General features: G+C 40.7%; 1 protein-coding gene across 5 annotated transcripts in view, besides 3 other annotated features; it reads left to right on the top strand.

Annotated features, from left to right (window-relative positions):
• The window catches only part of ELOVL5 (ELOVL fatty acid elongase 5), an 81,547-nt gene that overhangs the window by 22,605 nt on the left and 38,543 nt on the right, over positions 1-20,399 (top strand). The gene's annotated exons all lie outside the window — the stretch shown is intronic.
• Positions 13,601-13,895: a silencer, noted in NCBI's record as "tiled region #4240; K562 Repressive DNase matched - State 5:Enh". NCBI's record gives its function as "represses a minimal TATA promoter and a strong SV40 promoter by Sharpr-MPRA in K562 cells {active_cell/tissue: K562}" and the evidence as "EXISTENCE:reporter gene assay evidence [ECO:0000049][PMID:27701403]".
• Positions 16,226-16,275: an enhancer, noted in NCBI's record as "active region_24696". NCBI's record gives its function as "activates an Ori minimal core promoter by ATAC-STARR-seq in GM12878 lymphoblastoid cells {active_cell/tissue: GM12878}" and the evidence as "EXISTENCE:reporter gene assay evidence [ECO:0000049][PMID:35858748]".
• Positions 16,366-16,475: an enhancer, noted in NCBI's record as "active region_24695". NCBI's record gives its function as "activates an Ori minimal core promoter by ATAC-STARR-seq in GM12878 lymphoblastoid cells {active_cell/tissue: GM12878}" and the evidence as "EXISTENCE:reporter gene assay evidence [ECO:0000049][PMID:35858748]".

Raw genomic sequence — 20,399 nt, 5'->3', positions numbered from 1 at the left:
GCTTCAGGCAAGAGTGGCCCCACTGATTTTGGTGGTTAAAAAGAACTCAGGTGCAATGTGGAGGTGGATAGAAGGAGGCAAGAATGAGTGCCTGAAAGCCAGCTGGGAGTCCACAGGAAAGAAAATGGGCCTTGGTGGTGCAGCTAGGAAGAGGTGGATATTTATAAGATGCTCAAGACGATGGCTTCAACAGGCTAAGAGATGACTGAGTTATTCTGATACCCTACCCTTTCTGTCTACTGTGTCCTTTCACACCTCTATATCTCTTCATGCTGTGCCTTCGCTTGAATTATCCACCAACCATTGTGCCTCCTAGGCCTTCCACCCTGCAAAGTCCTTAATAACCTGGCCAAATGCCACTTGCATGAAGTCTTCCCTGATGCTCTGTCCAGAGTTAGTTCATTTAACAAATATTTATGGAGCATTCACGTTTTAATGTGCCTTAAATCATTGCTGACTTGGTTTTCTGGTCGAGTGGAATGTTTAACACATGCCAGCCAATTAACATGGCTGCTTAATAAAGTCGAGGTAAAATTTGAGACACTTTTCCGGCCTACCAAGTGTCACAATTCTTCCCAGATTGTGGCAGCCCACTCCTGCCTCCACTTCTTGAGTAGCAATTTCCTTATTTCTTTCCCCTGCTCCTTGGCCTGCCCAAACCTACCAGTCTTTTAAGTGACAGTGGAAGTCCCCCTCCTCTGGTGAAGCCTCTCCCTTTGTCCCAAGCCTGGATCTTCCTCCTGAGCAAAGCCCTCAGCCCTGTGACTCTCTGTCTCTGACTGGGTGCTAGTGGGAAATCAACTTTTCATGTGAGTCTAGTTGCTTCGGTCATTCAGAAACTCTCTCAGGCTCACTGCATCCAGAAGAGTGCTTATGAATACTTGACAGGCATAAATATCTACAGGGTGCGGTATCACATCACCTTCATGGTGTTCCATAAATGATAGGTAAGATACGGGCACTTTTTTAAAAAATGACATTTGGACATAAGTATCAGATATTTGGCTTATGACACAGTAATGGGTATCTTAAGCCTAGAAGTTGTGTTTTAGATTGAAGAATCATACATGATTCTCTTTGGCTGTATTTATCCATAAATTGTCCTGTCCTTGGATAGGACATCTAGACACTTGTGAAGTGGTCATTAGTAAATTGAGTGTGAAACATGGCATTTTGGAGAATAAATTGTGAAGCAACCTCCCTGAAAACTTATTAGTAGGATAGGACATTCATGTTAGCGAGTGGACCTAGGGTGTTGGGCAGAGTCAGGGAGACCAGGTGACTTTTAGCACAGTGCTTTTCTACCTTGTTTCGGTCTAGATGGAACAGGGTTATCAGTGTCCAGAAAAAAAGTCTTTGGCTTCCGGTTAATCTGTCCGCCCCAGCCATTGAAGAGAGTGGGGTACTTATTTATGCAATATCACCCTAGGCCTTTTCTAGTGTTTGTATATCATCTCTCTGCAAGTTTCTTCTGTCAAACCTCAAGCTAATTCTTTTCCTTTTTGATACACTTTGGAGATGAAGAAATTCTGATTTTTTTTTGGTATGATAGCCCATTCCTCTGCTTTCTCTCCAAACTAAGACTAAGTAGTTATCCCAGAGTCGTTGCTATAGACCAGTATTCTGCCCTCCTTCCTGATTCTATTTCTTTTCCTTTTTTTTTTTTTTTTTTTGACAGGATCTCCCTCTTGTCACCAGGCTGGAATGCAGTGGTGCCATCTTGGCTCACTGCAACCTCACCTCATGGGTTCAAGCCATCCTCCTGCCTCAGCCTCCAGAGTAGCTGGGACCACAGGCACACACCACCACACCCAGCTAATTTTCCTATTTTTTGTAGAGGTGGGGTTTCTCCATGTTGCCCAGGCTGGTCTCAAACTCCTGGGCTCAAACGATCTGCCTGTCTTGGCCTCCCAAAGTGTTGGGATTACAGCTGTGAGCCACTGTGCCTGGTCCCCAATTCTTTTAACTCTACTTAATCCATGTTTTTAAATGTTACTTTTAGTTATATAAACTTATGTAATCAATATCCATAGATAGAGATCTGTAACTGTTTTTCTTTTCTTTTTTTTCTTTTTTTTTTTTTTTTTTTTTTTGAGGTAGAGTCTCGTTCTGTCTCCCAGGCTGGAGTGCAGTAGCACAATCTCAGCTCACTGCAACCTCCGCCTTCCAAGTTAAAGCACTTCTCCTGCTTCAGCCTCCTGAGTAGCTGGGATTACAAGCGTGTGCCACCATGCCGGGCTAGTTTTTGTATTTTTAATAGAGACATGGTTTCACTATGTTGACCAGGCTGGTCTTGAACTCCTGACCTCAATTGATCAGCCTGCCTCAGTCTCCCAAAGTGCTAGGATTAACAGGCATGAGCCACTGCACCCGACCCATAACTGATTTCCTTAAATTCTGCATATCCGTATTTTAAAAGGGATATGGGAAAAGCTTGTTACTTATCCTGGCTTTAGAAACTGACTAATATTGGGCCGGGTGCGGTGGCCCATGCCCGTAATGGTCGGGCATGGCCCGATGGTCGGTCAGATGGTCGGGAGTTCGAGACCAGCCTGACCAACATGGAGAAACCCTGTCTCTACTAAAAATACAAAAATTAACCAGGTGTGGTGATGGGCACCTGTAATCCCAGCTACTCGGGAGGCTGAGGCAGGAGAATCGCTTGAACTCGGGAGGCGGAGGTTGCGGTGAGCCGAGATCACGCCACTGCATTTCAGCCTGGGCAACAAGAGCAAAACTCCGTCTCAAAAAAAAAAAAAAAAAAAAAAAGCTGGCTAGTATTGGACGTGGTAGAGCCATTTCTCATTCCATGAAGTTTCTATTTGAGACTTTTTTAGTCATAGCTTCACTGAGATCATGTTATCACTGTATTTGCTTTTATGTCATGTCTAGGCAGGCCTCCTTACCTGAGAATTAATATGACCACGTTTATCCTGTTCCTAGGATGCCAAAATCTGATGATTCATTTGAATGGGGAAGAAAAACCAAATTAAGTGTCACATAAACGTTGTAATTAATGTAACCATTGACTCACTGACATTCTATATTTTACACCATTGTCTTGGTGTTAGATTGTCTTGGACATAAACTGTTCCTCACCTAAATCTTAGACTACTACTTGGGACCCAGTAGTGTGTTACAGGTATCTGTAGGTTGCTAGTTTGATGCATTTTTCTATTTTCCTGACAGTTAAATTTAATCTTAATATGATTGACAGTTAAAAGTGCAGGTTGTGGAGCCAACATTCAGGGTTTGAATCCCATTTTCCAACAAGTGCAGGCTCGGTAACTGAACTTACTGAGAAGATTAAATTAAATAGTGCATGTGAAGTGCGTGGTACGATGCTTAGCACACATTAAGTGTTCAATGTTAGCTACTATGATTATTATCCTTGGTGTGTTTTCTGTTTTTAATGGTGTTATGATCCTGAAGCAAGGGACTCAATAAAGGAAGAATATTATGGTTTCATAATGAAATCCTCTTAACTCATTAGTGAAGCATTGCAATCTGTAATGATGCAAGCTTTGTTTGATGCTGTAACAAATTAGGCCAGAGTTAATGCCATTTCCTGTTAAACCTTGGATAGCTTATCTTAGTACTTGACCAATGTTTTGCTGGTGGAGTCTTCTTTTTCAGTGTGACATAATTCCCAGATAGTGGGCTGGTTGTCCTCGTGAGGATTTTAATGCCCAGGTAGGAGTTGGTTGATTCTAAATGGAAGCTGTTGTGTTTTATGCTGTTTGTTTATTCTAGGTGTGGTGATTGAGCCGAAAAGTGCAGGCAAGAGGAGTCTTTGGGGTTTCTCATTTGTGTCCTGTGACATGAGTATGAAATCTCTCTGTGAGCAAGTAAAAATATTTTTCCAACTGCTCACTTAGTGCCTCCGCATGGGATTGGAAAAGTCAAGCTGTTTTATACTGCTTTATTGACAGTAATACTAATAACATAAACCAAATTTGGCTGACTCAGCTACTGATTAGCAAAAATAGCCTGTCTTCTGCGAAACGTTGTATATATAATTAAAAAAACAACTGGAAGAGTCTTCTTACTTCAAGTTCTTAAATACTTTAAAAATTTGGCTTTTTTAAAGGTAGTTTTGTGCCTCTCTCACCAGAAGTGAATTTTCCCTTGTTTACGGGGTTCCTGTAAAGCTGTGGATGGGTTTGTAGATTCAGTTTTTTAAATGACAGTCCATGTCCCCAGACAGAATAGATATTTAACAAATGCTTGAACTGTGCTTTTTAAAATCCATACTTGTTCTCAAGGATTGCTGTTGTTTATGTGAAGCATAATACTTCTTAGAGGTTTTAAAAATTGGTAACTAGACTTAGCTCCTTGGTTTGAGGGGGAGTTTTTGTGGAATGCAGACAGTTCTATTTACTGTGTACTAATAACCTGAGAGAAAGAAAGGCTCCTAACATGGGTGACCTGTTAACAAATACCAGCTTATGTTCACAAATTAATCCTTAGGCAAGCAGAGCACACACAGCATTTGCCATTTCACTTTTCTCTTACCAGTGTTAGCCGAAATGGCTCTTTACACAAATTTTCAGTGTATATATTTAGTGTTTATTTATTCAGCTGTTGGAATTTCGGTATGATTTATATTTCTGACATACTAGTATAGTGTTTTACATTAGACTAAATTAATGAAGAATTTTTTTCTTCATGAGATTGTCCAGTTATGGCAATGGTTGCAGTTATAAAGGCTGTTTACATAGACCTTGCAAGTGGGAACATTAATACATAAAAATGTTTTGAAAAGGAATTTTTCAATGCATTCTAAGACTCTTCGACCTAATTGGCCAATTTCTGGGAGTCTCACCCATGGAAATACTTTAATATACAGCTAAAGTTTTATGTGTAAAGATGTTTATTGCAATATTATTTGAAAATAGTGAAAACTTGGAAACATTAAATGTCTAATATTAGAGGAATACGTAAAAGTGTTTATATAAATGTTGCTTCAGAAGTCAAATTAGGTTCATGAAAATGATTGCTGGCAGCCTTCATGCAGGTAAATGATCCAAATGCAGAACCGTGGATGGTGATGCGCATGATGTCTGCAGGACTGACCCTGCTTGTGGGATTTAACCCTTTTGTCACAGGTAACGTTATTTGGAAATGTCTCTGCAGTACACATACTCTTTGGTATGGCATGGGCTGTCAATTGCGAGTATGACCTCTTGCTTCATACCCAACAGAACATCTTACGTAAGGAAGAAGGCAGGGATCTCTTGTCTGGTGATTATCACAAGCATGGATGAGCTTCTGCAGCAGTTCATCAAAGAATCCAGTGGGTGGAAGGATTCAGTTGGCTGTTGCCATTGTAATTGCTCTTTCCCTATTTTTCTCATGGGTCTCCATATACATAAATAAGGAGAGGTGATCCTTCTGGCCACCTTACTGCAAGACAGTAGTTTAAATGAATTCAAGAATCCTGTTTTTAAAGTGCATATTTTCAGTCATTTAAAAAAAATAAACATTGGGATAATAAGCCGGTTTCTAAGGAGTTAATTTCTGGTAATTACAGCGAATACTAGAGATGGTTTGTTTTTTCAGTCCTAAGAACTTTTTAAGGCTGCCTGCAATTCAATATATGATTGGGTGGGACTAGTAAGAGGTGGGGCCTGATATTCTGTGGAAGGAAGCCTTTTCTACTATGCTATGTCCTAGCATAGTAGAAAAGACACTAGAACAAAAGTTAAGAAATGTGGGGTTTTGGCCGGGTGTGGTGGCTCACGCCTGTAATCCCAGCACTTTGGGAGGCCGAGGTGGGTGGATCACGAGGTCAGGAGATCGAGACCATGGTGAAACCCCATTTCTACTAAAAATACAAAAAATTAGCCAGGCGCGGTGGTGGGTGCTTGTAGTCCCAGCTACTCGGAGGCTGAGGCAGGAGAATGGCATGAACCCAGGGGGAGGAGCTTGCAGTGAGCCGAGATCGCGCCACTGCACTCCAGCCTGGGCGACAGAGCGCAACTATGTCTCAAAAAAAGAAAAAAAAGAAATGTGGGGTTGTTTTGTTTTTGAGACAGACTCATTCTGTCACCCAGGCTGGAGTGCAGTGGTGCAGTCTTGGGTCACTGCAACCTCTGCCTCCTGGGTTCAGGTGATTCTTGTGCCTCAGGCTCCCGAGTAGCAGGAATTACAGGTGTGCACCACCACACCCAGCTAATTTTTTTTTATTTTTAGTAGAGACAGGGTTTTGCCACGTTGGCCAGGCTGGTCTCAAACTTCTGGGCTCAAGGGATTCAGACTGCCTCAGCCTCCCAAAGTGGTGGGATTACAGGCATGAGCCACTGCACCTGGCCAGAAATATGAGTTATAATCAATCTAGCTTCATCTCTATGTGACTTGGGCAAATATATAAACCTGGTAGATACATAGGATTAAAACCAAACCTTCGTCTTACTTACACATTTCCAAGGATCAAACCAGATAATATGAGAGTACTCTGAAAATATAAAGTGTTTACAAAGATGACAAAGGGCTGCACACAATTAAAATAGAGGAGAGCAGGGTTTGAGTAATATATTGAAATATAAGTTCAAGAGAGGGCCCTAGCCCTGAACTGATCTCATTATACCGAACCAGCACAGTGCAGTGAACTAAATGAGAACTCCAGATGAACCAAATGAACAGGCATGTTGTGGAAAGAAAAGGAAGTTGGATGGAAGAAAGGAATTTGGGACCAATCAAGAAGGAAATAGGGAATATTAATTATATTCTAAATGAGAAATAAAGCCAACATCCATATACATTTTTTAAAACTGAATGTCTAAAGTAACCCTAGGGAGGAGAGCATTTTAGAGCTGCACTCTCAGTTATGGTACCTAGTAGCCACATGTTGCTCCTGAGCACTTGAAATGTGGCTGGAATGACTGAGAGTTTCTAATTTTTTATTGATTTTCAACTATTAGAAAACTTTTAAGTGTTTGAAACAACTTGAGTATGTGAATCCACTTTCACAGTTGCAAATCTTATGAGCTCTAAATGCAGATCGGATATTTCCTTTTTCTTTCTTTCTTTTTTTTTTTTTTTTTTTTTTTTTTTTTTTTTTTTTTTTTTTTTTGAGATGGAGTCTCGCTCTGTCGCCCAGGCTGGAGTGCAGTGGCGGGATCTCAGCTCACTGCAAGCTCCGCCTACCGGGTTCACGCCATTCTCCTGCCTCAGCCTCCCGAGTAGCTGGGACTACAGGCGCCCGCTACTGCGCCCAGCTAATTTTTTGTATTTTTAGTAGAGACGGGGTTTCACCATGGTCTCGATCTCCTGACCTTGTGATCTGCCCGCCTCTGCCTCCCAAAGTGCTGGGATTACAGGCATGAGCCACTGCACCCGGCCTGCAGATCAGATATTTCCAATGAAAATTGAGTGTCCACATGAGTGGACTATAAATGTAAAATATTAGATTTTAAAGACATAGTACAAAAGGAATATAAAGTTATTTTTATGTTGCCTACATGTTGAAATGATAATATTTTAGATATATTGGGTTAAATCAAATATACTATTAAAGTTGAAAAAAAGGAAAATGACTGCTTTAGTGTTGAAATTTAAGCTTACGAGTATGTGCTTTTTTGTTTTATTTTATTTTTATCTTTTTGAGACAGGGTCTCAATTTTTTGCCCAGGCTGGAGTGCAGTAGCGCAGTCACAGCTCACTGCAGCCAGCACCGCCTGGGCTCAAGCCATCCTCTCACCTCAGCCTTCTGAGTAGCTGCAGCCACAGGTGTGCACCACCACTCCCAGCTAATTTTTTGTAGTTTTTGTAGAGATGGGGCGGGGTCTCACCGTTTTGCCCAGGCTGGAAGTATGTGCTTTTTTAAAGCATAGAAAAAGGTAGAAGAAATAAAATTATGTTTACTTATGTAAATATATTTATGTAAATTTATATATGCTAATAGCAAAGCTCCATGCTAAATGCTGTACATGAACCATCTCATCTGATTAGGTATTCATGTTATTCCCATTTGAAGAGAATATTCCAGGTGAGGAGATTGAGGTTTTCAGACATGTACTCGCCCAGGATCACTCCACTTAATCATAGATGGTAGAAGGGTTAACGTGGATTCAGCTATACTCTTGGTAGCTTTTTGTTTTTACTTCAAAATGAGACAGATATTTTTTCTCTACTTTCCATATTTTCTATAGGAAACATCATTTTACTATAGAAAAAAATTTATTGTAACGTGGGGAGGCAGTAGAATGTAGTGGTTCAAAGAGTAGGCTCTGGAGTCAGTTGGCCTCCTCTCAGTGTAACCTTGGACAAGTGACAGTGGCTGTCTGCCTGGGTGGACTCATCTGTGAGAGGGCTGGCATGAGGACTGAGATTATCCTTGTAAATATACAGCAGAAAGACTGGCACATAGTAAGGATAGAGTGAGTATTAGTTGCTATTATCATTATTATGTTCTGCAAAGAAAAGGACTTGAAAATAAGGGGGAAAAATCCATCATTTGAAATAGTGGGCGGGATTAGGTTTTTATTTTATTTTATTTTATTTTTTTTAATTTTTTTTTGTTCTCATCTTTTTTTAAAATTTTATTATTATTATACTTTAAGTTTTAGGGTACATGTGCACAATGTGCAGGCTTGTTACATATGTATACACGTGCCATGCTGGTATGCTGCACCCATTAACCCATCATCTAGCATCAGGCATATCTCCTAATGCTATCCCTCCCTCCTCCCCCGACCCCACAACAGTCCCCGTGGTGTGACGCTCCCCTTCCTATGTCCATGTGTTCTCATTGTTCAGTTCCCACCCATGAGTGAGAACATGCAGTGTTTGGTTTTTTTGTCCTTGCGATAGTTTGCTGAGAATGATGGTTTCCAGTTTCATCTATGTCCCTACAAAGGACATGGACTCATCATTTTTATGGCCGCATAGTATTCCATGGTGTATATGTGCCACATTTTCTTAATCCAGTCTATCGTTGTTGGACATTTGGGTTGGTTCCAGGTCTTTGCTATCGTGAATAGTGCCACAATAAACATACGTGTGCATGTGTCTTTACAGCAGCATGATTTATAACTGGATTAGGTTTTTAAATGGTTATCTGGTTCTCTTGGAGAGACGTTAATGGGATGAGAGAAATCACTTTGGAAAGCTTCCTTATAAGCATTCAGTCATTAGCAGACCATTTAGTGAAGGAAATAGCAATTTGCTAAATAATTCAACCTCCTGAAGTGTGTAATTCATGTTTGAGCATAGCTGGCTTAATGTTTTCTTAGGACAGCAGGAATACATGAGTCCCTAAGCAAATGTGTGGGTTAGGTCGTAGCTTAAGGATGAACTTCTTACATTTAATACTATGAACTTAATGTACAATTTATCTTTCTTATTTTTCCCTGTAAGAGAACATGTCAGTACAGTGAATTTCCACTAACTTGCACTCCACTAATTCAAACTATATGACATGCCTCCTAATCGAACAGGTTATGAAACATACACGAGACTATAATCAATTTATTAATAAAATTAGTAAAGTGAAGGTCTAGGTGAACAGAACTTTCCATATTCTCTTCTTGCAGTCTGCTTGCCACCCCTCACACACCCGCAGCCCCCATGCTTCCTCACTCACTACATGGCACCCCCCTCCAGTGTGAGAAGCCAAGAGCTTGGACTCCCCCCTCTCCCTCACCTTGCCCACCCTGGACATCTCTCCCATGTGACCCCTGCATTCCCTCTCCTGCTGTGCCTTTGGAGGGCCCCCATCTCTCATCTGGACTCTTGCAGTCGTTTTTTTAACCAACCTGATGCTGATCTCACCCTCTTTTCAGCCTCTCGCCCCAACTGTCACCCCTTCTTTACCAACCCCCCAGTTTAAAAACAAACTCTGGAGCTCTTACCTCCTTCTCCAACATTGTTTTTCACTTTTTCATCTCTGCCTTCTGTCTGATCCCCACTAGCAAGCCTTAAATATTACTCTCTTTGCAGAGCTTCACCTGACCCACTGGTCCCCATACAGAATTGACTGCTCTGTATTAATCCCCCCACCCCTACCCATCCTTTTCTCCTGTACATACCTTGTCATGGCACATAGATCACTTTATTACAGTTATTTACTGTTTCTCCTTCCCTTGCTAGAGACTTTTGACCTTTCTGAAGGCAGATTTGTGGTCTTGTGGATTTCTGTGTCTCCAGTGCCTGTGACAGTGTGTTAAATGTATGTTTGATGAATGTGTGCTTCTGATGATGATAAAAATAGCTGCCACGAATTGAGGTGTTTGTGCATTATGCCAAGCACTTCATACAATTTTATTATCTCATTTAATCCTCACAGCAACTCCATGAGGTATAAGCATTATTGTCCCCATGTTTATGAGTTGGGAAACTGAGGTCTATATAGTTTTAGCAGCTTGCCCAAGGTAATATTACAGTGTATGCTATTACAGTATAGTTTCAGAGCCTAGAGAACTCTAACTGAAATTATGCATATTACAGATTACATCTTTCTCATAGAAATGGTGAGAATCTAGTCCTATTGCTGCCACTTCATTATGAGTTAAGTAAAGTATTTTAGGGCTGGTCTGGAGATCTGTCCTCCACTGACAGCTAGGGTTTTTAACTTGGGGACTACTGGGATTTGGGCGACCCTGTAAATGTCAGTCAGTTTAATCCAAACTCTCTGTCATTTTGAGATGGAGAGAATTTCCCTTTTGCTTTAATCAGATTTTCACAATTGATATGGAACCCCCGGAAATTTAAGAACAACTAATATAACATTTCTCCAAAAAATTATTTTCCAAAGGCCAGATGACTAATTTACAATAGTACAACCCTTTCATAAAGTGGAGATTATGTGTTTTGATAACTTGACTATATGAATGAAAATGATTCATCTTAGATACTAGGTTTTTTAAAAGTGTCAATTTTCTTTAGACTCTGTAAACAGTCATTCGTTTATCTCTTAAATGGAAAACTGCTTCTCTGTTATGGACCGAAGGTTTGTGTCCCCCCACTCTCAATTCATATTTTGAAACCCTAACCCCCAAAGTGATGCTATTAGAAGGGTGGGGCCTTTGGGAGGTAATTAAGTTTAGATGAGGTCATGAGGGTGGAGTCCCTATGATGGGATCAGTATTTTTATAGGAGGAAGAGGGACCAGTACTCTCTCTACCCATCCCCATGTCCCCAAGTCCCCAGGAGGATACAGCCATCTGAAGCCAGGAAGAGGACCCTTACCAGGAGCCTAATTTGCTGGCACCTTGATCATGGACTTCCTAGCCTCCAGAACCCTGAGAAGTAAATGTTGTTTAATCTAGCAGCATGTGCTATTTTCTTTATAGCAGCACAAGCTGGCCAAGACCCTCTCCTTTTCTTCTCCAACCCAGTTGCAATTTATTAAATTGTTCATGTATGTGAAAAAAATCATTGGAGAAAAACATAATACATTTTAAACATGTCACTGCTTCTGTAGTTACATTAATTTTCTTCAAATAATTGTTTTCATTGGATTTTGCATAGGAAATATGTGATAGCTTTTCCAAATCAAAGTAGGATATTATGTACTATTTTATATCCATCCCCTAGCTCCTGACCAGTAAAATGTTCTTGCCTTTCAAGGGTGGGTGTGTGTTAAGCTGTTGTTAGTTTGTGCTGATTTTTTTTTCTTTTTAATTTTATTTTTTTCACTCAAATTATGACATAAGACATCAATTTCTGTGTTTTGAAGTGAACTGAAAATATGGGTCATGACTGGAGGAATAGCTAGATTTCTGAGCTGAAGGGAAAGGACCAGGTTCTCTGTCCCTACCACTTGCCATAGTGCCTTACACATTTGGTGCTCAGTAAAGGCATATTGTTAAACGATTATATATGCCATTTTACAATCTCAGTTCTTTTCCTAAAATTTTCATATGATTGACTTCTCCAGGAATGCATTTCTATAATTTCTATACAGGAATAGGTATTTGTTTCTCCTTCACTCTGTCCTTAATTTTCATTTTGGAACCTGTTGGTGTCTCTCCCTTGGTGTTCTGGCTGTAGGTGGGCACCTAACTGACTTCATGTTAATTTGATCACTGGCTTTCCTTCGTTTTGTTACAGCTAAATGGCTCTATGACAGCCTAGAGTTGAATTTTGGTACTTGCAGAGAATTGAAATGAAGGAAAAATCATATTAGCCAGTCGGAATATTCAGTTACATTAACATGACTTGCTAAAATCCTTGCAGTTCCACTAAAATGTAATCACCTTAGGACCCAATTCTCAATATTTCACCTTTAGTGATTATCAAGGAGGTTTTAAACACAGTGGCTCATTTGTTGAATGTAGCACTTGGTGAAAAGAAGAAAAGCATTGCCAAGAAGAGATCTAATCTTGCTGGATAATTTCCAAGGAGGGTTACAGAAGACGTCACCTCAGCCTTTTCTGGGAAACATCCACTGTGCTCTGAAGAGCTGTGGGGGTTGAACAGCTCTTTGCTAATGGCAGGCAGCAAAAAGCCCAGAGCAGAGCACAAGCGTGGTGGCATCACTCTTCAGTAAGCTATAGTCACATAGTGACTGCACATTGTAAAAGTGCTGCTTAACCCTTTTTTGCTTCTCAGTGCATTGATAAGAAAATGATCCAAAAGATGGAAGAAAGCACAGTTTTTTTGTTTTTATAATATGGTAAACTTTTATTATTTTTCATTTTCAAAAACATCTGGAATCTGACAGTCTAAAACTAAGTTTTTAGCCAGGCATGGTGGCTCATGCCTGTAATCCCAGCACTTTGGGAGGCTGAGGCGAGAGGATTGCTTGAGCCCAGGAGTTCAAGACCAGCCTGGGCAACACAGCGAGACTCCTTCTCTACATTTTTTTTTTTAATTAGCTGGGAGTGGTGGCACATGCCTGTAGTCCCAAGCTACTCAGGAGGCTGAGGTGGGAGGATTGCAAGAGCCCGGGAGGTTGAGGCTGCAGTGAGCCATCATTGTGCCACTGCACTCTAGCCTGGGAGACAGAGTGATGTCATATCTTAGAAATGAAATAAAACTAAGTTTTCTATGTACCATGTATTAAAAGGAAAATGGCAAGGAAACTAATTGCAGGAACTTATATAAAGCAGTAGAGTCATAATAAATTTATAAACTTTTATCCCAATTATCTGTGCCTGCTCATCTACAGTATTGTAAAGTGAGATTTGGCATTTATAATTCTGACTCTGAGATACCTCAGGATCACAAAATGCCTCTGAATCATCAAAGATTACATTTTAATCAGGAGGATTTTATTTGGTATCTTTCATGATTTTCTTACTGTTTGACAGCGGGCCTCTTTGTGAGATGTATGATTCCTCGAAGTTAATTAGATCATTGGGTTGATCAAAACAGTATCCCCATCACCTGAGTAGTCTGAATAAGAAAATGTTTACTGGGAAGCTTCATCAGACCACTGTGAAAATGAGTATTTGAAACACCTGCATTTAGGTAAAGTCTTAAACTTTTGTGAATGGAGTCATAGTTCAGACTATTCCTTGCCAACATAAACCTTCCTTTACAGTTACAGGTGCCAAAAAAGTCACCACCACATGTGATTGGGTTGGGGAAGTTGATTGAATTTTTAAAAAATCAAATGCTCAGCCTAGTTTGTTTTTCTCATGGTCGTAGATTTTTTTAAAAAATTGAACTTTTTGAGAGAATTGTAGATTCATATGCAGTTGTAAGAAATAATACAGAGATCCCAAGTACTCTCTACCCTGTTTCCCCCAGTGGTAACATTGTACAGGACTGCAGCACAATATCACAACCAGCATACTGACATTAGTACGGTCCAGATACACAACATTGCTATCAGCACATGTGGCCTTCATAACCACATCCTCTTCCATCCTGCCTTCACACCCTTTGTAACCCCAGGCAATTTGTTAATCTCTTTTCTATCTTTATAGTTCTGTCATTTCAAAAGTGTTTTATAAATGGATGGCCCTTTTCACTTAGCTTAATTCTTTAGAGATTCATTCAGGTTGTTGAATGTATCAGGTTTGTTCTTTATTGCTGAGTAACGTTCCGTGGTGTGGATATACCATGGTTTGTTTTAACAATTCACCTGTTGGAGAGTATCTTGTTTGTTTCTAGTTTCTAGCTAGAATAAAGCTGCTGTGAACATTCGTGTACAGGTTTTTATATGAACATAAAGTTTTCATTTCTCTAAAATAAATGCCCAATAGCTTCATTTGAATTATGGCATGATATTTAATTATATTCCTATACTATAATTTCTGTAGCAGAAGGTTACTTCTAGGTTACGGAAGGTTTCATCTAGAAGGTTACTTCTAGATGGATACTTGAAGGCTAACCACCTTTCAGTTTTTGTTACAAATATCACTGATGACAATCATAAGTCAATCTTAGTGCACATCTGCTTGTATTTCCTTAGTGTAGATTGCTAGCAGTAGGCTTGAGTGTATAAAATATTAAACCTTTTTTTAAAGTACCTCTCCTTTTCTTAAAGTTATTTTTAATTTTTAAGTATATCTAATTGCAGAGCATTGTCATTACCTTAGAAAGAAACATCATAAACAGTATCGGTCACTTCCCATTCCTTCGTTTCCCCAGCCCCTGGCAACCACTGATGGATCTGCCTATTCTGGACATTTCATATGAATTGAATCATCTGTGGCCTTTTGTGTCTGGCATCTTCCACTTTGCATAATGTTTTCCAGATTCATTCATGATATAGCAAATGTCAGTACTGTCTTCCTTTTAATGGCCAAATAACATTCCATTGTATGAATGTACAACATTTTGTTTATTAATTAATCAGTTGATCGACTTTTGGGTTGTTTTTACTTTTTGACTGTTATAAATAATGTTACTATGAATATTTGTGTACAGGTTTTAGAGTGAATGTGTGTTTTCATTTCTTTGGGTATATACCTAGGAGTGGAATTGCTGGGTCATATGGTAATTCTGTGTTTCACTTTTTGAAGACTTGCCAAACTATTTTCCACAGCAGATGTACCATTTGACAGTCCCGCCAACAGCAAGCGCCTGAGTATTTCACTTTCTCCATCTACTTGGCCAGTATTTGTTATTTTCTGTTTTTATGATTATAGCTACCCCAGTGGTTATTACATGGGTCTTTTTTTAAAAAGAGCTGTTTTGGCAACACTGCCTTGCTTACCTACCAGGTAGGACAGCCACAGGAGCGCTGTTTATGTTGAAGTTTCCAGTGGTGTCAGTTGGCTGTCTCTAGGCTTTTGTGGAAGAGAAAATTGTGTAACTGCCTACCTCTCCTGCCAGAGCACCAGACTTGATGTGAAGTTCTGTGAAGAGCCCACCCAGTCACCTGTCAGCTCATTTAGCCACACTGGAGAGTCTGTTGAGGTACAGAGGGGAGTTACCAGTGTCGTTTGTGGACTCAGTTGCTATTTTGGAACAGAAATTTGCAGAATCCTTTAAGCTGAAAAATTTCCATGCTAGTATGTATCATATGAATAGCAATTATTTACCCTTTCACAGAAAAAACCAACGGTCTTTTCTGTGTGTATTGTGAGATAAAGTCTGGAGGGGTTTGTGGTTTTCTTTTTAGTAGGTAACAGTTCGAAATTTGTTGCAGATCATAAGCTGCCAAATAATAGCTTTAAGATGTACTTTTAAAAATCAACTGTGTGATTGGCTGGGTGCAGTGGCTCACTCCCGTAATCCTAGCACTTTGGGAGGCCAAGGCAGGCAGATTGCTTGAGCCCTGGAGTTGAAAACCAGACCAGCCTGGGAACAGAGCGAGACCCTGTCTCCAAATTAACAACATCAACAAAAAAATCAACTTGTGATAATTGTAAAGAGCACAAGTTTTGGACCAACTACAAATTTAAGTAACTTAACTTTGTGAGCTACTTAACAGTAAGTAATGTGATTAAGTCTTCCCAGTGTGCCCGAAAATTTTTTGATTTTAGCACTGAAAGCCTTACATCCCGGAAAATCCCCCAAGAAAAACAGAACAGTTGCCTACCCTAAGCCATATAAACCTAGAGTTAACTACTTAAGATCTCTGAACTTTAGTTTCCTCGTCTAGAAAATAGGGATATTTCCTTAGTGAGTCTTTGAAAAGCCAGCTACGTAGTAGGCTCTTAGTAAATGTTAGATCCCTTGTCTCAGGCTAGTAACAAAAGTGTTGTATTGTTTTCCTAACCAAATTCTATACTTTAGATAATAAGCCTTTTCACTTCTCTTCCCAGTTCCAGTTAAATCGAGGGGGAGGGTTTATATTTTATTAGGCCGTGCTTGTAATTGGTGCCTTAATTATGTGTGGTAACCAAAAGGAAGGCTAGCAAGGGGAAGTAGAGTTGTCTTGTAAGAACCTCTTCTTCCAGCCCCACTGACCTTGTTAATTTCTAAGGCTTTTATCTATTGTTAACAAATTACCCCCAAATTTGCCACCTTAAAATGCAGAAACATTTACTGTCACACACGTTTTCTGAGGGTCAGAAGTCCCAGCAAGGCCTACCTGGGTGGTTTTGTCTCAGGGTCTTTCATGAGGCTGCATTCATCTGAAGCTGAGCAGGCCAGAAGATCTGCTTCTGAGCTCATTCAGGTGGCTGTTGGCAGGTGGCCTATTTCCTGCCACATTGTCCTCTCCCTAGGACTGTTTGCAGCATAGCAGCTGGCTTCCCCCAGAGCTAGTGGTCCTAGAAACACAGACAGAAACATGCCAGCTGACCAAGATAGAAGCCACAACATCTGTTATCACCTAATCCCAGAAGCGACATACCATCCCTTTTGCTTTATTCTGTTGGTCACACACACAACCCTGGTTCATCGGGAAAGGGCACTACATAAGGGTGTGAGTATCAGGTGTACCAGGATCTTTGGGGGCATCTTAGACTCTGCCTCCCATAGATACCGTATTTACTTGAAGAAAGCTTGAGGTCCTGTAGTCTAGGTAATGAAACGAATATAATAGGAAGCAGCTCAGTTTAGGATTGATGATAATAGAGCCAGAGCCCACGTTTCTCAACCAGTGTTCAGGTTCTTCCTATCACCCATCTTGCCTCCTTCCAAGGAATGTATGGAATTGTCCTTGGCCAAACATTTGATTTGGCAGCAGCAGCAGCAGCAGCCTGTCAGCAGTGTTCCATACTGCCCCAGTTCAATATGATGAAACAGGGAGTTACTAAATTCCTTTCTGTGTCCCAAGAACAGCTACTAGGGATTACAAGGAGCAAGACAGATACGTTCCTTGTTCTCACAGAGCTTTATAGACTTGGCCACTGTTGACTCCTGGTAGTAATGGTGTTATGGATCTCCTCTACTGATAGTAATATTTCTGCAACAGCATCCCCCAAAAAAGAGCTTACCGGTAAAAAATCCATCAGGTGCAGGATGGATTAATGTATGCTTGTTATGTGTGATGTGTACCATGTCACACAGTGTTTGAAAAATATGAGAACTGATCTCTATCTTGATACGAGGTTTTATTTCAGCTTGAGAGATGTTTGAAAAAATATGATTGCCTCCCCGCCCCCCGCCCCACCTGCGCATCCCCTCCCCCCAGCTGGTGGAATTAGAGGAAACAGGGAATTGCTGCAGAATTTGTTGGAATAAAAAATAACTTGTCCTTGAGACCATCATCCTAGTCTAGGCTCTGTCTCTGTAATACAGTGTATGGATACCGTCTGGGTGATAAAAATTAAAGGGTGGCAGGGGATTTTAGTAAGAGTCCAAAACTTAATTGATATATATAGCAGTGGTTCCCAAAGCAGGCTGTTTCCCAGAATTACCTAACGATCTTTTCAAAAAGATATTTCCTAGCATCTATTGAATTAGAATTTCTAGGATTGGATCCCAAAAACCTGATTTTAAAGCTGTTAGGTGATTTTAAGATGCAACCAGATTTGAGAGCCCATTGATATGAAACTCTAGAAAGTCATTCATTCATTGATCCACTCATTATTCATTCATTCACTCTTAGTTTCAATGAGCAATCAATAATTGGTCAGGCACAGATCCAGACACTCTAGCGATAAAATGGGAACACCAGAGGTTCTGCCGTTGAAGAGCTTAGAGCCTAATAGGATGTGGACAGATAAACAGATAATTACAGTATAACTGATAATCACAGCACTTAAAAAATAAGCCTGTAATTTTATCACTGATTGAGATACAGTAGAAGTGATGATGAAGAGTATGAAAATGAGGTCAGGGAGGATTGCTGCCCCTTTACTTCCCATCTAGGTCTTAATTACAGAGATCTTAAAGAACTCTGTTACCAAACATCTTCTTCCAAACAACTTTTTTTTTTAACTTGATAATGTTATTTTAAAACTACATAGTTCTGTATCTTTTTCTCGTAAAACTATATGAATTCAGGCAATACTAACACATGTCACCATCTTTTATGTAAATACATGAAGATGTCCTCTTGAGAGACTGCATGGGGTATTTTAAGAATGATAGGCAATAGAGTTGGAGATGTGGTTCAAATTCTGGCTCCACCCAACCTCTGTGACTTTGGCAACTCAGCCCCCTTTTCAGTTATGGTAAATGAATAAGTTTATTGGCCATCTATCATATGCTAGTTGCCAGGAGTACAAAAAAAAAGGCTTATCAGATGCAGATTTATTTCTGCTCTGTACTAAGGTTGGGATAGACACTGGCCTGCTCTTCTACTCACAGAGAAGTCAGTGACCAGCATCTCCTTGACATTTCAGAGGAATTTATCTAGAGTCTTTTATAAATCCCCAGATTCACAAGTATCATTTGTGAGTCCATGCCAAATAGAAAATAACAGAGCTGTGAGGTATGGATGTGAGCATGTTTCACTGCCATGGACCTTGCAGGGAACTCCAGTTTATGCCTTAGCAAAACTCTTCCATAAACATTGAATATGAAACTGATCATTGTCAAAGGTCTCTGTAATGATGATAATAATAGAAACATTTTTACGGTACTTGCTGTGCCACACACTATTCTAAGCATTTCACATATCTTAACTCATTTAATCACATGAGGAAGTTAATGTAATTACCCTCATTTTACAGTCTAATAAACTAAGGCACAGAATGTTAAGTAACTTGCCCAAGGTTACACAGCTAGTAAGTGGTGAAGCAGGGATTTGAACCCAGGCTCTCTGGCTCCAAAGTGTATGTTCCTAACCACTACCACCCAAAAGTGGTTGAGCCACAGATGTCTTTGCACACTGCTTACTAATTTGTACTGTGGCAGAGGTCATGTCTGTCTCTGTCACTTTCCTGTTCCTCACAAGCAATACTGCTTGACACAAAGTAGACACTCATTAAATAGTTTTTAACTCAGTGAGTCAACTGCCTTTCAAATGGCTGGTAGCCTGAAAAGCAGTCATTCTGAGAATCATTGGACACACAGAAATAAAACCAGTCAGGAGGATGACTAACTCCTGCACCTGATGGATTTTTTTTTACCTTGCTTCACTGCAGCCTTGTGGGCATTAATTAGTTACTGTCAGCAAAGTTCTATGTGAAAGTGGAGTTCTAAGTCCAACTGCAGCAATCTGGCCTTCACCCACCAGCAAGGAGCATTCTGTGTGTGAATTATCGTTGTCTTTTTCCAAATAACAGTGTGCTTCACTCAATTAAAAGTTATCACCACTTCTTCTTCTAGTTTCAAAAGAAAATTAAGTTGGCAGCTTTAAGATGATAAAACTCTACAAGAGTAATTTTCTACAGTGGTGAACCCTTTTCTGAATGCTCGTTTGTTGTGTGGATTGTTGTAAATGGTCCTTGTCTTGACTCTGCTGAGAACTGGGGGAAGAACTTTGAACTTGACTGTACATTTCTTCTTTAGCTGTGAATAAGAATTCCCCTAGAATAAAGTTCTAAAATCATGTTACCCTCCCGCTACCAACTGCTGAAAAAATGTTCTATATCTGAGTTTTTAAGATCAAGTGTATTTGTGTGTTGCCTTTCAAGACTAGAATACATCTTTGTCTCCCAGTGGGGAAGAAATTTCCTTGAATGTTTAAGAGGTGTGTGTGTTTGCCCCTCTCCCCTCTCTCTCTCCCCTCTCCCTCTCCCCTCTCTCTCTCCCCTCTCCCTCTCCCCTCTCCCCTCTCCCCTCTCCCCTCTCCCTCTCCCCTCTCCCCTCTCCCCTCTCCCCTCTCCCCTCTCCCCTCTCCCCTCTCCCTCTCCCCTCTCCCCTCTCCCTCTCCCCTCTCCCCTCTCCCCTCTCCCCTTTCTCCTCCCCTTTCCACGGTCTCCCTCTCATGCCGAGCCAAAGCTGGACTGTGCTGCTGCCATCTCGGCTCACTGCAACCTCCCTGCCTGATTCTCCTGCCTCCGCCTGCCGAGTGCCTGCAATTGCAGGCGCGCGCCGCCACGCCTGACTGGTTTTCTTATTTTTTTGGTGGAGACGGGGTTTCGCTGTGTTGGCCGGGCTGGTCTCCAGCTCCTAACCGCGAGTGATCCGCCAGCCTCGGCATCCCGAGGTGCCGGGAT

The sequence above is a fragment of the Homo sapiens genome, chromosome 6 (assembly GCF_000001405.40).
Source record: "Homo sapiens chromosome 6, GRCh38.p14 Primary Assembly".
Lineage (NCBI taxonomy): Eukaryota > Metazoa > Chordata > Mammalia > Primates > Hominidae > Homo > Homo sapiens.
The sequence above is the reverse complement of the archived record's forward strand: the minus strand, read 5'-3'. Positions and strand labels throughout refer to the sequence as shown.